This window comes from Homo sapiens, chromosome 1 (assembly GCF_000001405.40).
Source record: "Homo sapiens chromosome 1, GRCh38.p14 Primary Assembly".
NCBI lineage: Eukaryota > Metazoa > Chordata > Mammalia > Primates > Hominidae > Homo > Homo sapiens.
In genome coordinates this window covers 83,903,892-83,923,805 of record NC_000001.11, presented here as the reverse complement: position 1 = coordinate 83,923,805, position 19,914 = coordinate 83,903,892, and the positions used below count along the sequence as shown (strand labels likewise).

Genomic DNA, 19,914 nt, shown 5'->3' with positions numbered 1-19,914 from the left:
TAAATGAATGGTGATCTTTTTGGTCTTTGGTTAAATTTTTATTCTGGCCTGTGGTGTAAGTACTGAGAGTCATTAGTGCTGATTTATGCCTGTGAATATTCATAGAAATGCAAATAGTTTTTAGAATGACAATATTCCTAAGGGCCAGAAAGTGGGAACGTTCCTTTATACAAAACAATGTCTCAGGGTAGTTGGATTTTCTTTGTTTCTTAATGTGTCTGAAGGAACTTCTATGTGCTTATTTTTGTTATTCTTCTTTGTGTGTGTTCAAACTGTTTGTGTATAAGTATCTTTGTCTATGAGTGTTTTGTTTGCTGTAGATATTCATATAGATCTGTGTTTATTTTTTTCATAGAATACTCATCATATCATCTCATCTTTCTTTATTTTCATCTCCTCTTAGTTTTTCATTCCCTTTTTTTGCTTCCTCTATTTTTTTTCTCTTGTGGATTGTTTAGTCTTTGTTCCTCTCTATTCCTCTTTTCATTTCTATTTTCTTTTCCTGTCTTCTTTTTCTTTTAAACTGAATGCTATATAGAAATGATCATTCTAGATAAAATGGACAAATTTTATCCATTTTAAATGGATGTATGATAATATATTCATTGGTATATGATAGAATGATAAAATGATTGCTCTAGATATAATAAAATGAAAAAATTCAAAAGTTAAAGAGTTACCTAAACCATGGCATTTCCTTTACCCTTAATTAGGGGAAACTCAGAGCCAAATTTGTATTCATCATTGAAAATGCCAGTGGACTCACTAAAATCAGAACTCTTGGTGTCATCACAAGTTCATCTCTCTTTCTTATTCTTCATATTGAATTAGTCACCAGAGCATATCCATTCTTCCTCCAAAATATTACTCTAAACTTACCTTTTTTCTCTAATCCCTTTGTTGCTCCCCTGTTCCAAGCCCTCATACTTTATATTTGTTAATGAAATAGCATCTCATCTTAACTTTCTGCTTCTTTTCTCATCTACTTCTAAGCCACTGTATATACTGCCAAGAGCATAATCTTTAACATATACAAATATAATTATGCCCTCTTTTAAAAATTTATGTTCTCCTTCATTGTGTAAAGTTAAATTTGAGGCTCAATAACCTAGTATTCAAGTCCATGTGAGAAGCTGAGTTTCTTGCATTCACCCAGAGCTCCAGTAATCCTGAATGACTTGCAGTTTTCTGGATGCATTTATTTATTTTCTCAAATTATTCCTTTTACCTGACCACCTGTTGACCTCTTGCTACTCAAGCCTGAATGTTGTCATGAAAGAGAATGGATCAGTTTCCTAACATTCCTGCAAGGTCAAGTTGTGATGGTACATACTTGAGGCAAAAGAACTCTCTTTATTGTTTAGGGCCTTCGACTCATATTCTTCATGCAATCTCATGATGAATTAAATGAGGCAATATGTAAACATAAGCACTTCTCTTACCTCTGCACTAGAAGCTAGCCAAATGGCCTTCTTGTCGCCTTTCCTTTGGTTTACACTCTTATCTGGGCCCTACCAGCCTAATGACAATAGAAGCATGGAAATGTAAGCTTAAGGATAGAACTTTCTGTTTTGTTTTTGTTGTTTGTTTGTTTGTTTGTTTCTTCTAAAGGTGGGGTCAGAATTGGCCTTGCTTTTCCTTTTTTCTTGGAGTACACCCTGTTCCTGCTAGGTCTTTCAATGATGGTATGGTAGAGTTTAAGTTGAAGGGGTTGGAGAGAAAAATCCTCAGGCTTGTGTTATTTCACCAGCTACGTGGCAGGGAAGAGAGAGAAAGTGGTTTAGAGGAAAATAATCCCAAAACAGGACTTTTCCTTAAAAATCAGAGAGTTATAAGTAAATTTTCATAATTGAGTAAAAAATGGGAAGGACTATGCAGATGTTTTCAAATAAATGATGATTGTTAGGCTGAGATTTCGGTCAGAAATGAAAATGTATTAAAGAGTGGTCAGTATAAATGGAATTGGGTTGAAGAAGGAGAAGAGAACCATTACATATTAAGTACCTATTAATGTTACCACAAATTAATCTTATAAGAACTCAAGGAGGAAACAGTATTGCTGACATTTTAGACGGGGAAACTATATCCAAACTAGGCAGTTAATTGACCAGCCCAAGATTGTATAGTGGTAAATTGTTGGGGCAAAATGTGAAACTAGGTCTCTCTGATCCTCTAAAACATGCACTATTTCCATTTTGTCTCTGTATCTTCAGAATTTCTGTTTACCATATCTATTGTCAGAGTGCCATATTTGAGGTATGGTTAGATGAATATAATGTAAGTGAATATATAAGTTTAATAAACATTGATTCTGAGCTTCACTATGTCTCCTGTTCTGCAAATTCTCCTCACAGGGATAAGATCAGAACTTGTTCGAGTTCTAGAATATGGTCTTATGTTTTATATTTTAGGACCAGTGACAAAAGAAGAAACTTGGCCAAACAAAAAGCTGAGGCTCAAAGGAGGCTCTATGGTCAAAATTCAATTAAAAGGCTCTTACCAGGCTCCTCAGACTGGGAACAGCAGAGACACCAGTTGGAGAGGCGGAAAGAAGAGTTGGTATGAAAGTTTTAAGAAAGTACCCACAATTTAAATTGCATAATTCACTTGTTGGATTTTATTTGTAAAATTTTTCTCATTTCCAGAAAGAGAGACTCGCTCAAGTACGAAAGCAGATCTCACGAGAAGAACATGAAAATCGACATATGGGGAATTATAGGTAACTGTGCTGCTATTTTTGTATAGATTGAAAAAATGAAGTATCAAAGCAATGATTCTTCATGTTTTAATCTTGTGTGCTTATTTTAAGCATTTTTCTTTCATTCCAAGCAAGTGCTTTTTGCTTACTGTCTTTCAGAAAGAAAGGTAGTCAGCAGGGAGATGGTTCAGCCTTGACAGCGCTCCTGCTAGCCAGCCTCTGGGTGGTTGTAGGAGGTCTTTTTAACCTGCTGTTATCCTGTGACTGTATTTAGTTATAATGTGGTCTTTTAAAAAAAGTCAGAATTCAGGTCTCTTGGTATTCTTCCTGCCAATCCATGGTGGTTACTGTACTTTTTCAGGAACTAGGCAAATAATGAAAATGTTTGAAGGAGTTAGGTATGAGACAGTGGAGAGGGATGTGGGCTGTGTTAAACTGGAACCCTTCCACAATATCACCCTTGACAGATTCAAACCCCCCCACCCCACCCAGCTCATTGTGTTCTTGGACAGATTGCCCACTTTCCAACTTTTGACATTGCCTGAGCAGGATAAAGGAATGTGTGAGGGCGTTCTTGCACTCATGGTAAGATGTTCTTTCATGGCCTTAACACCATCAACAGTAGTGATAAGAACACATTCCTCCCACTCTACCTCTACCCACTTCTCTCTACTAGAGAGGCAAATTCCACCACTACAAAAGAGATCATCAGAACCACTGCTTACATTTTTGTATACTTCAGTAACCACACTAAGTAAAAACACTCCTGCAGTATCCCTTATTACCTGAACACTCTCCTATAAAGTTCAGTATTTCTCCAATTTGCCCAATCACCATTCTTCCCCAACCATTTCCCCCCAACTAAACCCTTATACTGTACCTTCTGGAACTGCATTGTTTAATGCTAATTCTCTAGATAAACTTTGTTTGTGGATTTGTGCCACTATTAATGAATAGACTGAAAACCTTCATAAAGTTCTAAAAATACTCTTGTGCAATCATTAAAGTTTTGAAAGAATTTTATTAATTAGTGCCCAGTCAGCAAATACTCACATTAGAAAGTTACTAAGTGAATCTATTAGGCCAGTTATCAGTTTTCTGTCTGGAGGTTTAATATTTAATATCATTTTGCACTAATCAGTATAGAAATGCTTATACCTGGCAATGTGACTGGTATAGAATAGATGGTCAAGGATTGTCTATGGAGTTGATGTTAACTATTGAGCTACGACAGCTTCTTTTTAAAAAATTGGTTTATCTGATTTTGTTGTAGACGAATTTATCCTCCTGAAGATAAAGCATTACTTGAAAAGTATGAAAATTTGTTAGCTGTTGCCTTTCAGACCTTCCTTTCAGGAAGAGCAGCTTCATTCCAGCGAGAGTTGAATAATCCTTTGAAAAGGATGAAGGTAAGAGAATGAATGTTTATATAGAGAAAAAAGAATAAAGCTAAACAATATGTCTTTACAGACAAGCCACCTTGGTCCGACATATAAAAACATTTTACTTTTAAGATATGCTTTCCCCAAGCTTTCTATTTTAACAGTTGGTAACATTTCATGATGAACCAACTTACTTCATAAGATATCTACCAAGAAAAATTATGGAGTAGAGAATTGTGATATTATGTTGTAATATCAATATATTATAATAACGTATCTTCTTACATAGATGTGTATATGTAACTGGATAAAGAAACCCATGGAATTAACCTAGTGGTTTGTAGCGTTTTTATTTTTTGGATTATAACAAACATTACATAATACTTTTTCTTGATGCTATGTAGATCTAGCATATGAGAGGAAGTAAATGAAACACACACACACACACACACACACACACACACACTCTAATCTGTACACCATAGTAAAAGGTCTAGCAGTTTTCTATTATAGCATAACAAACCACTTCATTTATTTGCTCATTACTCTGCAATCGTGGCTGGGCACAGCTGAGTGGTTCTTCCGCTTGTCTTTCCTGGGGTGAATCATATAGTAGCATGTATCTGAATGCCCAACTGGGGCTAGAAATCCAGGGTAGCTTCACTCACATGTCTGGTGTGTCAGATAAGATAGCTGAAACATCTGGGAGCTGGCTGGTATCTCTTTCTCCCTACACAGTCTCTCAGCAGGGTAGTCAGACCTCTCAATATAGTAGCTCAGGATTCTAAAAGGGAGCATTTCAAGAAGATTCTTTTTATCCTAGTAGGAGCTCTCTATTTTAGACTTGATCTCTGCCTACATATGTCCAGACATGACAGATGACCCCAAAGAAGAAAATGGCCACTCATCTCTGCTCACCTAGGAAGAACTTGTTCCTCTTTGGAATTTAGTTTCTTTACATTACTTTTTACCTAAAGTAAAGCTTTCTGATGTTTTAGAAAATATGATTGTTTAGTTTATCTGGCCTTTTCTGGCTGTTATGATGAAAGTATTATCTGTTATATTTCTCCTAAACAGAAGCAGAACTCCTTGAGTTTCTTTTTGGCTATATTGTACTGCTATCCATGGAATTCATTGTAAGATTATTATTTAATAAAAAATGTATAATAAGAGTATTTTGGGATTTCAATAGCTAAATTTCCTTAGATTGGGACAAAGAGTAACTTACTTTACACATTTCTACTGCACAGTGAGATTTCTAGTTTCTTCAAAAACCTTTTCTAGAATCCTTTCTTAAATAACTAAATGATACAGTTGATTATACCTCTTTCAGTGTAGCTATTATACTCGTATTGTCCTGGCTTGCCTAATATCCACTGGGGTATATGCTTTTACAAAATTTCCTTTTGATTCAGAATATGACTCTAGTAGAACGCAGGAAAGGTGTTAGGGCACTTGTGGCTTTTTGCTACCTTTGATGACTATAGAATGAAAACCTTTATAAAGTTCTAAAAATACTTTGTGCAATCATTAAAATTTTGAAAGAGTTTCATTAAATAGTGCCCAGTCAGCAAATACTCACATTAGAATGTTTCTAAGTGAAACTGTTAGTCCAATTATCAGTTTTCTGTCTGGAGGTTTAATATCATTTTGCACTAATCTGTATAGAAATGATTCATAAACTTGAAATCTGGAAAACAGCATGAACTTTCCAGAAATTTTAGTGTCCAATGGGCTAATTTATTGAAGTATTATACTCTAAGATTTTAATACTATACTGTACTATAAAGATACATTTGTTTAGGATAATTAATACAGAATAGATTTTGGCTATGTATTAATTATAATGCCAGATTTTAGTGAAAGTTTCAAGAGAATTTGCTGTGACCCTTTAATATTTCTCCTTTTTTCTGAGCAATCTTCACTAAATAATTTCAGGAATCCTTGCTCTGCATTATTTTGTGGAGATTAATCAACTTGGAAAAATTCTAGAGTCCATTAGTGGTTGTAATTTTAATTAGAATATTTTTTGAAGGAAGAAGATATTTTGGATCTTCTGGAGCAATGTGAAATTGATGATGAAAAGTTGATGGGAAAAACTACCAAGACTCGAGGACCAAAGGTGCAGTATATCTCTACCTTCCTTACTTATCAAAGTAGATGCTACTAGCCCTTGATACTTCTCACTATAAGAAAGACTGGTGCTGCTTTAAAAAAGGAACCACAGGGACTGTGTGCCCAGTGCAGGTAAAGTTTGGAAGATGATGATACCTTACACTCAGGAGTTTGTTTTGTTTTATTAGTTTCATTCGTCATTTTGGTTATTTTCCTGATGACAGTGAAAAGACCATGAGTCAGGGCCAAAAGGGACCCAAGAGCTAGTACTCTTATTCTAAACTAAGTATTAAGTTTGCCTCATACCTCTAGACAGATAATTATCAAATAAATGGGTAACATTATAAATAAGGCAAATCATGAACTCTAGAGACCCTAATTAGAAGCCCTGTCTTTTGCTGACCTAACAACATTGATTTTGTTTTAGTTAAAATAGGTGTAATTCCTAGAAATAAGTAGAAAGCTGTCATGTAGATGACATCTACATGTTCTCCTTTTTTTTTTTTTTTTTGATAACAGGGTCTCACTCTCATCCAGGTTAAAGTCCAGTGGTATGTTCATACCTCACTGTAGCCTCACACTCCTGGGCTCAAGTGATCCTCCTGCCTCAGCCTCCTGAGTAGCTGGGATTACAGGCACATGCCACCATGCCTGGCTAATTAAAAAAAAATTCTTCTTTTTTTTAAAGAGATGGTGTCTCACTGTGTTGCCAAGGCTGGTCTTGAACCCCTGGTTTCAGGCGATCCTCCTGCCTTGGCCTACCAAAGTGCTGGGATTATAGGCATGAGCCACTGCATCCAGTGCTGTTCTTCTGATATATGTCAAAGTTCTTGCTAGTAGAGTAGGAAAGAGTTAAATTAGAAAAATCTTGGATTTTTTTTTCATTCTATTCCATTTATATTTCAGAATTACTATGCTATCTCTTTGTCCTTAGCCACTTTGTCTTCTATCATATTTTCTTTTTTTTAAAATTATACTTTAAGTTTTAGGGTACATGTGCACAACGTGCAGGTTTGTTACATATGTATACATGTGCCATGTTGGTGTGCTGCACCCATTAACTCGTCATTTACTATTAGGTATTTCTCCTAATGCTATCCCTCCCCCCTCCCCCACTCCACAACAGGCACCAGTGTGTGATGTTCCCCTTCCTGTGTCCATGTGTTCTCATTGTTCAATTCCCACCTATGAGTGAGAACATGCGGTGTTTGGTTTTTTGTCCTTGCAATAGTTTGCTGAGGATGATGGTTTCCAGCTTCATCCATGTCCCTACAAAGGACATGAACTCATCCTTTTTTATGGCTGCATAGTATTCCATGGTGTATATGTGCCACATTTTCTTAATCCAGTCTATCATTGTTGAACATTTGGGTTGGTTCCAAGTCTTTGCTATTGTGAATAGTGCTGCAATAAACATATGTGTGCATGTGTCTTTATAGCAGCATGATTTATAATCCTTTGGGGATATACCCAGTAATGGGATGGCTGGGTCAAATGGTATTTCTAGTTCTAGATCCCTGAGGAATCGCCACACTGACTTCCACAATGGTTGAACTAGTTTACAGTCCCACCAACAGTGTAAAAGTGTTCCTATTTCTCCACATCCTCTCCAGCACCTGTTATTTCCTGACTTTTTACTGATGGCCATTCTAACTGGTGTGAGATGGTATCTCATTGTGGTTTTGATTTGCATTTCTCTGATGGTCAGTGATGATGAGCATTTTTTCATGTGTCTTTTGACTGCATAAATGTCTTCTTTTGAGAAGTGTCTGTTCATATCCTTTGCCCACTTGTTGATGGAGTTGTTTTTTTTTCTTGTAAATTTGTTTGAGTTCATTGTAGATTCTGGATATTAGCCCTTTGTCAGATGAGTAGATTGCAAAAATTTTCTCCCATTCTGTAGGTTGCCTGTTCACTCTGATAGTAGTTTCTTTTGCTGTGCAGAAGCTCTTTAGTTTAATTAGATCCCATTTGTCAATTTTGGCTTTTGTTGCCATTGCTTTTGGTGTTTTAGACATGAAGTCCTTGCCCATGCCTATGTCCTGAATGGTATTGCCTAGGTTTTCTTCTAGGGTTTTTATGGTTTTAGGTCTAACATTTAAATCTTTAATCCATCTTGAATTAATTTTAGTATAAGGTGTAAGGAAGGGGTCCAGTTTCAGCTTTCTACATATGGCTAGCTAGTTTTCCCAGCACCATTTATTAAATAGGGAATCCTTTCCCCATTTCTTGTTTTTGTCAGGTTTGTCAAAGATCAGATAGTTGTAGACCTGCGGCATTATTTCTGAGGGCTCTGTTCTGTTCCATTGGTCTATATCTCTGTTTTGGTACCAGTACCATGCTGTTTTGGTTACTGTAGCCTTGTAGTATAGTTTGAAGTCAGGTAGTGTGATGCCTCCAGCTTTGTTCTATCGTATTTTCATGCTTTTCCATGCTTCTGAAATGTCTTCCTACTAAAAAAAAAAGTCATTGACTTGTTGTTTGAGGCTCCTTCCTATTTCAGCTGAACCGCTGTTGCTTGTGTGAAACCTTCCCTCATTTCCCCAGTTAGGCTTAGACCTTCCCTTCTTTCTTTCTCCTGCTGTTCCATAAATAACACTTTTATAGAGCAGTTGTGACAAGTAATTATTTGCATGTTTGCCTCAGTATGAGGTTGCAAGTTCCTGAGGGTAGCAAGTAGATTTTCATCTTTGTATTCTTAGAACCTAGCCAGTGTGTGACACACAGTAGGTTCTCAAAATCCATTAGTTCAATTTGTTAAATATATGCATAAGAACCTCATTGGCTAGTAGAAGAGCAGACAGGTAAATAAAAAACCAGGGAGTAATGTGGCAAGTACTATAATAAAGGGAGTGTAAAGTGCTACAGCCCCATAGAGAAGAAAGGGATTGGTAGCATGTGGATGGCTTCAGAAAGGTAGTGCTATTAGAACTGGATCTTGAAAAATGAGTAGTGCTCTAAGCATTAAGAGAGGTGGAAGAGGCAGAGCACGGTGGCTCACGCCTCTAATCCCAGCACTTTGGGAGGCCAAGGCAGGCGGATCACGAGGTCAAGAGATTGAGACAATCCTGGCCAACATGGTGAAACCCCGTCTCTACTAAAAATACAAAAATTAGCTGGGTGTGGTGGCATGCGCCTGTAGTCCCAGCTACTCGGGAGGCTGAAGCAGGAGAATTGCTTGAACGTGGGAGGCAGAGGTTGCAATGAGCCAAGATCGCGCCACTGCACTCTGGCTTGGCGACAGAGCAAGACTCTGTCTCACAAAAAAAAAAAAAAAAAAAAAAAAAGAGAGAGAGAGGTGGAAGAACATTTAGGGTAGACGGAACATTAAAGGCAAAGATATGGAGTTATGATACTGTATAGGATGTTGTAGAAACATGAAAAGTTTGGTATGACTCAAGTGGAAGGTTCTTGGATAGTGAAATGATACAGGTGAGCCTGGTTAAGAGATAAGATACTTATCTGGTGGAGATCTTGGATATCAGAGACTGTTCTGAATTATGTGCTCTATATTGAGGCATTGTAGAATATGTCATTGATACTTCCTTTGGAAGAAATATATTTTAGAGTATCTGTAAAAGTGAATACTTGCATGAGTCATGGCATCACTTTGGGAAACACTGGGAAGTTTCTAAGCTTTGTATATTAATTATTGCTATTCAGCAAACCAGACATGAGATATCCTGGAGGCACAATGTTTCTGGCAGAATGGCAAATGCAGAAGCCTTGAGACAGCTTTATATTGTCTTATATTTTCCTGGGTTTCATTTATATAAGGCTTGTCATCCAAACAAAACTATAACCTCTTGGGAGGAAGAAGAATTCACTTTGTCTGATTTGTTCAGTCCCTTTCATTCTAGGCAAGTAGTGGAAACTAACAATGTATTTGTTGAAATGAACTAGATATTTCCTGTAGTTGTTAAAGCCAGCTATATTTCAAAGTTGTTGAAGTCTGCATAATCAGTCTGAAGTAGAAGAATCTTTATAACTTTTAATTTTATGTTGTTTACCAAGGGTTCAAAGTGAGCAAAACTTCAAAACAGCCGTTCCTTTTTAGAGGGATGGTATCACACACCCAACATTGATTTCCAGTGTCTTTACTGGTAGAAGAATAATTGGAGATAATCAAAGTTAAATAAAACTGGTACTTGTAGTAGGAGAAATAATAGCTTTCCACCAATTTGAGAATCTAAGAAACATTAGCTACATAAATAATAAATATCACATGAAGTATTAGGTTGGTGCAAAAGTAATTGCAGTAAAATATTAGCAATGTTCTTTTTATTAAGCTGGGTGATAGGCATGTGGGTGTTTATTCTTCATATATTTATACATTTTTTATATATAGCCTACTTCATAATAAAATTGGACATAAAAAATAAGTAGTATGGTTGTGCCATAACTCAATGCCAGTTTACAAATTCCATTTTGTAGTTAAGACACTATTTAGAGTTTATGTTGCTGTGACTGCTAGTTAATTATTGCTTGAACAGTGTGTTGGTCAAAAAGTCCCAAGTGCATATAAGACACAAAGGCTCAGCTGTACGTTTCCCCTTGTGATTCTTTATAGGGTCGAATAACTCATTATGTAGTCAAGCTCTTTAAGAACACTTAAAGCTGTTTGCTACATGAAGGAAGGCACTACTAGCAAGCCTGATTGTGCCACTCTTTCTTCTGGGTATGCTAAACTTCTGAGGAAACAACCTTCCTCTAGAATTCATATTCCCCAAGATTGTCAAAATGTTTGATGATTGTGTTACTGGTAAATGTTTTTATGCATATCTCTTTGAACATTGTCAGTACTTAGTAAATATTAGACCATCAGAAGGAGCACATGCTTTTAAACACAAGTTGGTACCTTAGTGAATTAAACTACTTTCCTGCTTTGGTTATTTTTCATCCTTTGCAAAGACTGTAAATTTAAGAAGATCATGCTTTTTGGCTCACTCTGTATTCCAGGCACTTCATGAAATGCTATTTCTGTCTTTATTTTTATTCTACACTGTTACACTAGAGGGTATACCTTCTTTCAGTGAAATCCCCATGCTATCCAAGGATTTCATTATAGTGTATGCTAACATCAAAACATTTTTGTTTGATTTAACAGAAAACAAGCAACTAGTATACAACTGAAGGAACCTCTCCCATCAGGAATAGGAGGCATATGGTGTGTGTAATAAATAGTCTCTTAGAATGACTGAGTTATAAAACTGTCTTGTTCTTGGTTATGCACATTCTTTCTGATGTGAAGCTGTCCCACGTCCCTTTCCTTCCATTCCTTCAGCTGGCATCATTGGAAACACATTGATTGGGAGGACTAGAAACAAGTGATTCTAATAGGGATGGTAACACGTAACAGCATGGCATTTTCAGTCTTTACAGATCTTCCATTCTCTATTAGAGAAATTTATCCTTCCTCCATGAAAATTTACCCATACTGATCTTCATATTATATTATTAATTTTTAAAATGTAGCATGGGCAATGAAAAGTTATGTCACTCTATTATGGCCAGAAGCTACGTGCCAGAGTTAGGAATACTCTGAGAAAAGACATCAGTTGTTCTTGAGCAGTTTGGAAAATGGACAGTTAACTAAAAATTTTATTTTTATAAATATCCACAGCCAGTTAGTCTTGTAAGGGATACCTAACTTCTTCCTGCACATTGTCTGAATGGATAGGCTCACAGGCAATGTTTTAGTATTCTTATTCTCTTTATCCTTTTTGTCTCTCTTTCTCCTCCCACCCCCTCACACACACAAACACAGACACACACACACCACACACATACACACACAGATGCACTTGCACGTGCACATGCATACACATTTATTGAGTAACTCTGAACGTTAATGATAAGACAAAGGTAGATCTCTGAGTCTTGATGAGTAATCTCTTATGGAATGAAAAAAGCTGATTATATTTCTTATTTTTATATTTTTATCTCAAATATTTTCCCTTTATTTTGTTATTCTTTGTTTATGGATACTCTGGCCCTTTATTCCAATCATGTAGGAACAACATATTCCTCATCATGACTATATCATTTAAGAAAGAATATTTTGCAGAAACAACAATCAATGCATAGCACTGTAGGCTAAGCAGCATGGCAGCAATAGTATTTGGGGGGATTCTCAACCTTCAGTAAAAAGCAGCAAGCATAGGGGGAAATTAAAAATAGTAACTAATCATATCAATAAACCTTTTTTAAGAATTCTAACAAAATAACACATTTCCATCTTTTTTAGCCTCTGTGTTCTATGCCTGAGAGTACTGAGATAATGAAAAGACCAAAGTACTGCAGCAGTGACAGCAGTTATGATAGTAGCAGCAGCTCTTCAGAATCTGACGAAAATGAAAAAGAAGAGTACCAAAATAAGAAAAGAGAAAAGCAAGTTACATATAATCTTAAACCCTCCAACCACTACAAATTAATTCAACAACCCAGTAAGTCAATTTCTTCTAATTTAGATGTTATATAAAGAATTATGGAACTGAAATTATTAAACTCAGTAAAAGGTCCTTGGGCCAAATGAACCCTGTTGTGTGTGAGGAGACCTGGATTCCATCCCACTTCCTTCCCTAACCAGACTCGGGCACATCCCTTAATTAAGCCCTTTCAAGATCTGCAAATAGAAAACGAAAGGGCTGGATTAAGGATCTATTCTATATTTCATCGTTTTTGTTAGGTGCCAGATTTTTGCCTGGGTTTTGTAAAATGTGCCTCATGGCTGATCTGATGATTATGTGTCTCTTAAGCCAATATATTCTCTCTCATTCAATTTCTGCCTCTCTACTTCCTTCACCCACTTTGTTTTATACTATCACTTATTATATATTTTTCAAAAAGTATGTATATCCCTAGGCATTTGACTTGAATGTATCTGTAAGTTACATAATTGTGAAATAGTTGGAGTTTTGTTCCCTCCCATTTTCATCACGGGTGAGTACTTAAGTCAGGGCTTATGATGCATAGGAACTACTTAGGAGAGCAGCCAACCAGCTGTTCCATCTCCTTCCGTTTCTGCTTCCTTTTCTCTCCTTCTGTCTGTATTTCTTTTTACATTCTCTCTCTCTTCCTTTGGCTCTTCTTTCGTTTGTTCTTCAATTCCAAATGTGCAATATTGTGTCTGTGATTTTTCTTTCATCCCCAAATGTCCAGTGTGGGATTGCTGTTTGCCTAGATTCAGTTGGAAAACCCCTTCCTGATGCTGCCTCCAGTCCAGGACTTTTCTGAACACTTGTCTCTCATATTTCTATTTGCCTCGTGCTCCACTGTCCTAGGGTTCCACTAAAGGAACCAGCTCAATAATGCAGTGAACACAATTGTGAGCCCTTTTTACCGTCAGCAATGTATTTAATATGTTAACTTCCCTGATAATGTGGATATTTTAAAACTGGCCTTAAACACTTACGGCAAAATGCATGAGGAATAAAGAACCAATAGATGAAGCTTTTAGAGGAATGGTCTTTGTTTATACATTATTCTCTAAAGAAATGTGCTACTACTTCATATCTTCCAGGGTTTATGTCTTTGGAGGGGAATTAATGTATTGTGTTCCATTTCATTTATTTATTTATTTACTTATTCATTTAAGAAATGTTTATTGAGCACCTGTTACACAGTTTGTAAGCTATTTCATCATTTGCTTCCTTTTTTCTGAAGGATTCCTTAAATACTTTCAGTGTGTCTTTGTGTAAGTATGGCTCTGTGTTGGTTTTAGAAGCTGAGGTTTTTATGCCCAAATTTGGTCAGTTTTTAATTCCCTTTCCTGTTAGCTGATGTGTACCTCCCTAATGGCATGAACTGATGGGGGATGAGGACAGGTTGGAGTAAAATTTGCTAACATTGTTATAGCTCTGAGATTGTTCTTTGTTCTTAGACCAATAGGTTAACAAATTGATATCAGACAATAGTGCACTAAAATATACAGATTTTTAAAATGTTTTTAAGTATGAATTTTCATTTGAAATCTAGCCTAATTTAATTACATGTCTTTTTTATTAGTTATATTTTATTTTTATATTCACGAGGAATTGTAACAAGTCTTTCACTTTGTGTTTATTCTTTCTTTAATCTTACATTAAGGAACATTTCAGCCAGAAATCCTACTTGAGTTTTGTCTTCAGAGTAGTGCTGATGATCAAGGACAAAATCCAGATTATGTGTAACACTTTGTCTTGTATATAGTTTGAAAAATTCAAACTTATTTCAGCTTCAAAGGGATATGCAAGTTACAAAGATTTTTTGTGAACCTACCCAAACATCATTGGCATGTCTAGCTACTTAGTTTTTCTATCTGAATTTCTAGCATGTGTAGGCAAAAAAAAAAAAAAAAAAAGGAAAAAAAAAAGTAATCTGTGATGATTCAAGACAAAGGATATTTTCCTTCTGCCCAGTGATCAGGTTATATACAACCAAACCATTACCATAACCCCTCAAAGAGAGTAGGACTACAGTGCAGTTACTAGCACATGCCTTGGGTATTTTCTTAGTATAAGTTTGCTCTCGGCGCACATTAAATATGTGCAGTTCTTTGTTAAAAAAAAAAAAAAGATTGACCAGTGGTATGTTCCTCACATAGCCCTTCTCTAGAAATATAGAAGCAGTGTCATTTTGAAAAGTGGTGACAGTTTCAGGTTCACAAGGAAGTTAATCATTGGAACAAAGAGAAGTTTTTTTTAATCTTTTATAGCTTAAATAAGTATACCTTTTTGTACTCTCCAAAATTTAATTTAGAAGTACATCCCTAAATATAAGGCTTATGTCTATTCCCTTTATAAAGGTTTAAATTTTTTTTCAACAGCTAATGAAGAGAAATATTTGGGTATTCAACCTGGCTTCATGTGAATTTTACCAAATTATTTAATGAAGATATATTCCTCAAGCAGAGAAAGAATACAGAACAGAGGATATATAGACCATAGGAACTGAAAAACAATAAAAATATTGATAGTATTGAGTGATGATCTATTTCCCTGTGTCAGGAGTCAAAATTTATCTGGAACAGTTGGTTTTCTTTATTAGGTGTTCTTAGTATGCATTGGGGAAGATATTTTATAGTTTCTCTTAGATATTTGTTCTGATAACAACCCTATAGATCCATACATTTTTTTCTTCACTTGTCTTTTTCTATAGGAATTTAACCTACTTAAAAAATTATTTACTCTTGTGACTTAAAATACTCTCTGTTCAGTACTACTCTTTATAATAACCAATTCTGTATTTAAACTCCGTTAGGATAATCTGCATATTTTTCTTTTGTTTTATTACTGTTTTTTTTCTCATGGCTTCTAAATTCTATAACTTAACCTATTTAGCCTGTATGCCTTTCCAGCCCTCCCTATGAATCTTGCTGTAAAATGTTCAATCTCTAACCTATACACAGATTCTTGTGAGTGACCAGTCAAATCTCAAGGGATAGTGGATAGCATCATGGTATTATAGAAAAAGGGAAGACACTGGAATTAGATAGGGTCAGGATTGAAACCTGATCTTGACCACTTCCTTGCTGTATGACCTTGAAAAAGTTCTTTCTCTAAGCCTCTGGGCAATGGAGATCCCTACTTCAGAGGGTTTCCATGAGGACTAAGATATAAGTGTAGCACTTAGCACAATGCCTGGCTTATAGAATATGCTCCATAAATGTTAATTTTCCTTTCTTCTGGTTCTCTTAGCTCATGTTTTCAGGATATAACATTGAAGGATTGTTGATAGTATTATTCCCACAAGGGCCATTTTTTATACATTACAGGGGTTCTTCTGCAACAAGTTCACTGTTGTTGAAAAGTGTATTCCAAACTCATATTCTCATGATGATGCCTATGCTTTGACATTTATTGCTACTTTACTACTAGCTGCTATAATCTTTAGTTTATATAGACTTCATACAGTGAAAAACTTGTATTAATACTGCTACTGTAGTATCCCTCTTCTCCATCACTGATAGGCTCCATAAGACGTTCAGTCAGCTGCCCTCGGTCCATCTCTGCTCAATCACCTTCCAGTGGGGACACCCGCCCATTTTCTGCTCAACAAATGATATCTGTGTCACGGCCAACTTCTGCATCTCGGTCACATTCCTTAAACCGTGCTTCCTCCTACATGAGGCATCTGCCTCACAGTAATGATGCCTGCTCTACCAACTCTCAAGTGGTAGGTCATCTGTTTTGCTCTTTCAAGATTACAGGGAGCTCTGTACTCAGGCAAAGGGGATCAGATGAGAGGAGGACAGACTGAACCTCAGATCCTTTCCATAATTCAACTCATGACCTCTTGAAATTTGGATTATTCACCTACCTTAGCCTACAATTTAGTATGACTCTTAAAAAGTGCAGACTTCACTCTATCACAGAACTCAAAGATGAGCACTGAGAATAGCATTATTTTATTTTCTATTTGCTGATATAGTAGGATAATATTACTGAAAATTACCTGAGGAAATGTATGGTTTTGCAGTGTATTATGCAGTCTATCTTTAAATTTGAGGAAATTTGGAAAATTTTACTTAATGGGACAGTTGATTAATAGGTTAAAAAATGATAAATTCTCCTTAGAGCACTTAAGTACAATGTTATTTATAATGTGTTCTGTATGTTAAATTAACATATAGTATTCCCTTGTTAGCATGAATCCCAGAGATTTGATATTTAGAAAGTAGTGAATTTAGTTTGTAAGAAGGCTTACTTTTAGATGCTCAAATAGATAGCTCCGACTACCTTCACATAGACTAAGGATTTATTTAATTTGTTTATTTAATATGGATCATGTTTCCAAAGGGAAGTCAGGAAATATAAGTGAGTGAATTTCACTTGGTAACAATGAATTTTTTTTTCTAATCAAGAAAAATTGCCTAAGGTATATGTAGCAAATGAAACTGACCAGGAAGTCCTTTTTAAGTATTTATATTTTTATTTTAGTACTTTGAGCTAAATAAGTATAACCTTGTGGAAGTGTGAAAGACACTCTTGGGATTCATATCCATTTAATCCAAAGAATTCACAAGTGTAAAAGAAAATTTTCTTCCTTTTTCATTGTTATTGTTTTCAGTTAAAAGTGCATCATTTTTACCTAGAAATATCTTTCAGATTATACTGGCACAATGAAATAAGACCCCCTCCAAATATCTGTATTCTTTCAAATTTAAGAGTGAGTCTTTGCGGCAACTGAAAACAAAAGAACAAGAAGATGATCTAACAAGTCAGACCTTATTTGTTCTCAAAGACATGAAGATCCGGTTTCCAGGAAAGTCAGATGCAGAATCAGAACTTCTGATAGAAGATGTGAGTATGTGATGTATCTAAAATGCCAAGGAGCTGGTACCTTTTTATTCTTCTTAAAATATTAAAATTTATTTCCTGAAGGCATTATGCTCAGTGACATAGTAAATTTAATTGATGTTCTTTTCAACCTCTACTAGCTTTAGAAAATACAGGGGTTTATTTTAATTGTTACAATTCATGGACAGTGAGATCAGATTATAATCAGCAGTACAAAGTATCTTTTAGTATATAGTGCTATTTTAATGATAAGTCTGCTTCATCAAGTCAGAATAATTAGTGTTAAATAATTATTGTTCTTAATGATTAATCAAATATCATGTTAAACCTGCTTCTATAAAGATTTAGAAAGAACTAATATGGAATGGGGTATGATGAAAAATGTGGGGCTGTGGCATAAAATGTCAAGAATATTTGAATGTGACACCTTGAATGTCACATTTTTGGGGTCAGATTTTTGAAATGACTTATGCTGAGCTGTGTGTTTTTCTTGTTACACACACATGTGCACCACCCAGTGGAACATTCTAAAATGTCAGAGGGTCCTAAAATTCACATTAAAACCAGTGACTTACTCCTAATTTAGAAAGAGGGTCCAAGTTATTTCAGATAATTTTTGTGAAAGCGCATTTCTTCATGCAAGGTTACATTTCTTCATTCAAACATCCTTTTCGTTCCTTCAGTAATAGAACCTTGTTTTTTGGGGGCCATATGTATATTTATAAATATATAAAAATATATTTTGGGCCATTTTTTTTTTTACAGATATAATTTTATAAATTATGTATATAAAATATATGTTTTTTTTTCCCAGAGGAGAGGGCACCATCTAGTGGCCAGTTATAGGATAAAAACTACAGCCATGCACTTGGCATTTTCGTTTTTTAGCATATACTTTAGACCTGTCTGAAGTAAGTGTGTAGAAACAAAAAGCAAACAAACAACAATAAAAGAGACTTTCTTGCTAAAAAACACCCATAACTAGAATTTATATTATGTACTGATGACACAGTCATAAGCAAAGCCCCCAATTATTATATATTTTGTTGTTATATATATTTTTAAAAAGTGAAAATGGTAACTTGTTTGCAAGCTAGGTGCTACTTAGTTACATTAAAGGAAATGAAAGAAAGCATTGGATGTTAAGTATTATACTAGATGTGCTTTTATTTACCTATGTCATCTTATTTGATAAAATTTTCTATATATAGCCAATGACTTTGTAGCACTTTATTTTATATATTTCTTAGAGATATTAGTTATATCCCATCTTTTTGAATCAGGTAGAAGAAAATTAAACAATCAAAGAGTAAAACTAATATTTCTGACTATCATGATTGTTCTATAAAGAATGTATATAGGCTTATATAATTAATAAAATATAATGAATATTTATAGCAGACATCAAATTGTTTATTGTGTGTTCACTACATGTGGTAAATATTTTAATCTGTTTACTACAGTATATATTACAAGACTATATATTCAGAAGTTTTGCAGACTTGCACAAAAATAAAACAAAGTAGTAGAATTCTCATATAGGCTGCCTTCTAATGCATTATTCAATATTTTATTACTATGAATGATAAATCAGCCTCTAAAATACAAATGAAAAATCTATTTCTTGGATTTCTTGCCAAATCTTATGTGCCTGAAGACATTTGACTTTCATTCATTGGAGATTGTTTTTTGTTTTTGAGACAGAGTCTCATTCTGTTGCCCAGGCTGGAGTGCAGTGGTATAATCTCAGCTCACTGCAACCTCCACCTCCTGGATTCAAGTGATTCTTGTGCCTCAGCCACCCAAATAGCTGGGATTACAGGCATGCACTACCACACCCAGCTAATTTTTACATTTTTCTTAGAGACAGGGTTTTGCCATATTGGCCAGGCTGGTCTTGAACTCCTGGCCTCAAGTGATCTGCCTGCCTCAGCCTCCCAAAGTGCTGGAATTACAGGTGTGGGCCACAGAGATTGTATTCTTAATACAACTAGAATAGAAAGCTTTGGATGTAGATGGTTTCTTTAATTTGTATTAGAAATCTTTGCACATGTGTTTTTATGAAAGTTGGCATTATTTGTTGCAAGTATATTATAGTGCTTTCATTACACAAATTAATTTAAAAAATGGGTTTCAACCTGTAAATTTCTTAATGTTCCTCCTTCCAAACAGATCATTGATAACTGGAAGTATCATAAAACCAAAGTGGCTTCATATTGGCTCATAAAATTGGACTCTGTAAAACAACGAAAAGTGAGTAATGCTCAAAACAAGTTTTTTCCCTCTTGGATTATGTATTAAGCTAGGATCATTAAGCCAAATTCATAGACAGACTGTATATTTGCTCATTTGTTTACTCATTTCTTCAACAAACACTTATTAAGTATCTATTATGTGTCAGGCACTCTTCTAGGTTCTGAGGATACAAAAGTGAATTTTT

General features: G+C 35.3%; 1 protein-coding gene across 8 annotated transcripts in view; it reads left to right on the top strand.

Annotated features, from left to right (window-relative positions):
• The window catches only part of TTLL7 (tubulin tyrosine ligase like 7), a 134,109-nt gene that overhangs the window by 75,327 nt on the left and 38,868 nt on the right, over window positions 1-19,914 (top strand). For 5 of the 8 annotated variants that reach the window (NM_001350215.2, NM_024686.6, NM_001350214.2 and 2 more), the window contains 8 exons: window positions 2,412-2,559; window positions 2,646-2,719; window positions 3,972-4,107; window positions 6,116-6,202; window positions 12,443-12,641; window positions 16,145-16,350; window positions 17,343-17,477; window positions 19,647-19,727. In NM_001350215.2, coding sequence (NP_001337144.1) covers window positions 2,412-2,559; window positions 2,646-2,719; window positions 3,972-4,107; window positions 6,116-6,202; window positions 12,443-12,641; window positions 16,145-16,350; window positions 17,343-17,477; window positions 19,647-19,727 — 1,066 coding nt within the window. Of the gene's footprint in view, window positions 1-2,411; window positions 2,560-2,645; window positions 2,720-3,971; window positions 4,108-6,115; window positions 6,203-10,765; window positions 10,874-12,442; window positions 12,642-16,144; window positions 16,351-17,282; window positions 17,316-17,342; window positions 17,478-19,646; window positions 19,728-19,914 lie in introns of those variants that run through there. The other 3 variants (XM_047430686.1, XR_007063701.1, XM_047430700.1) reach the window with 3 other exon arrangements.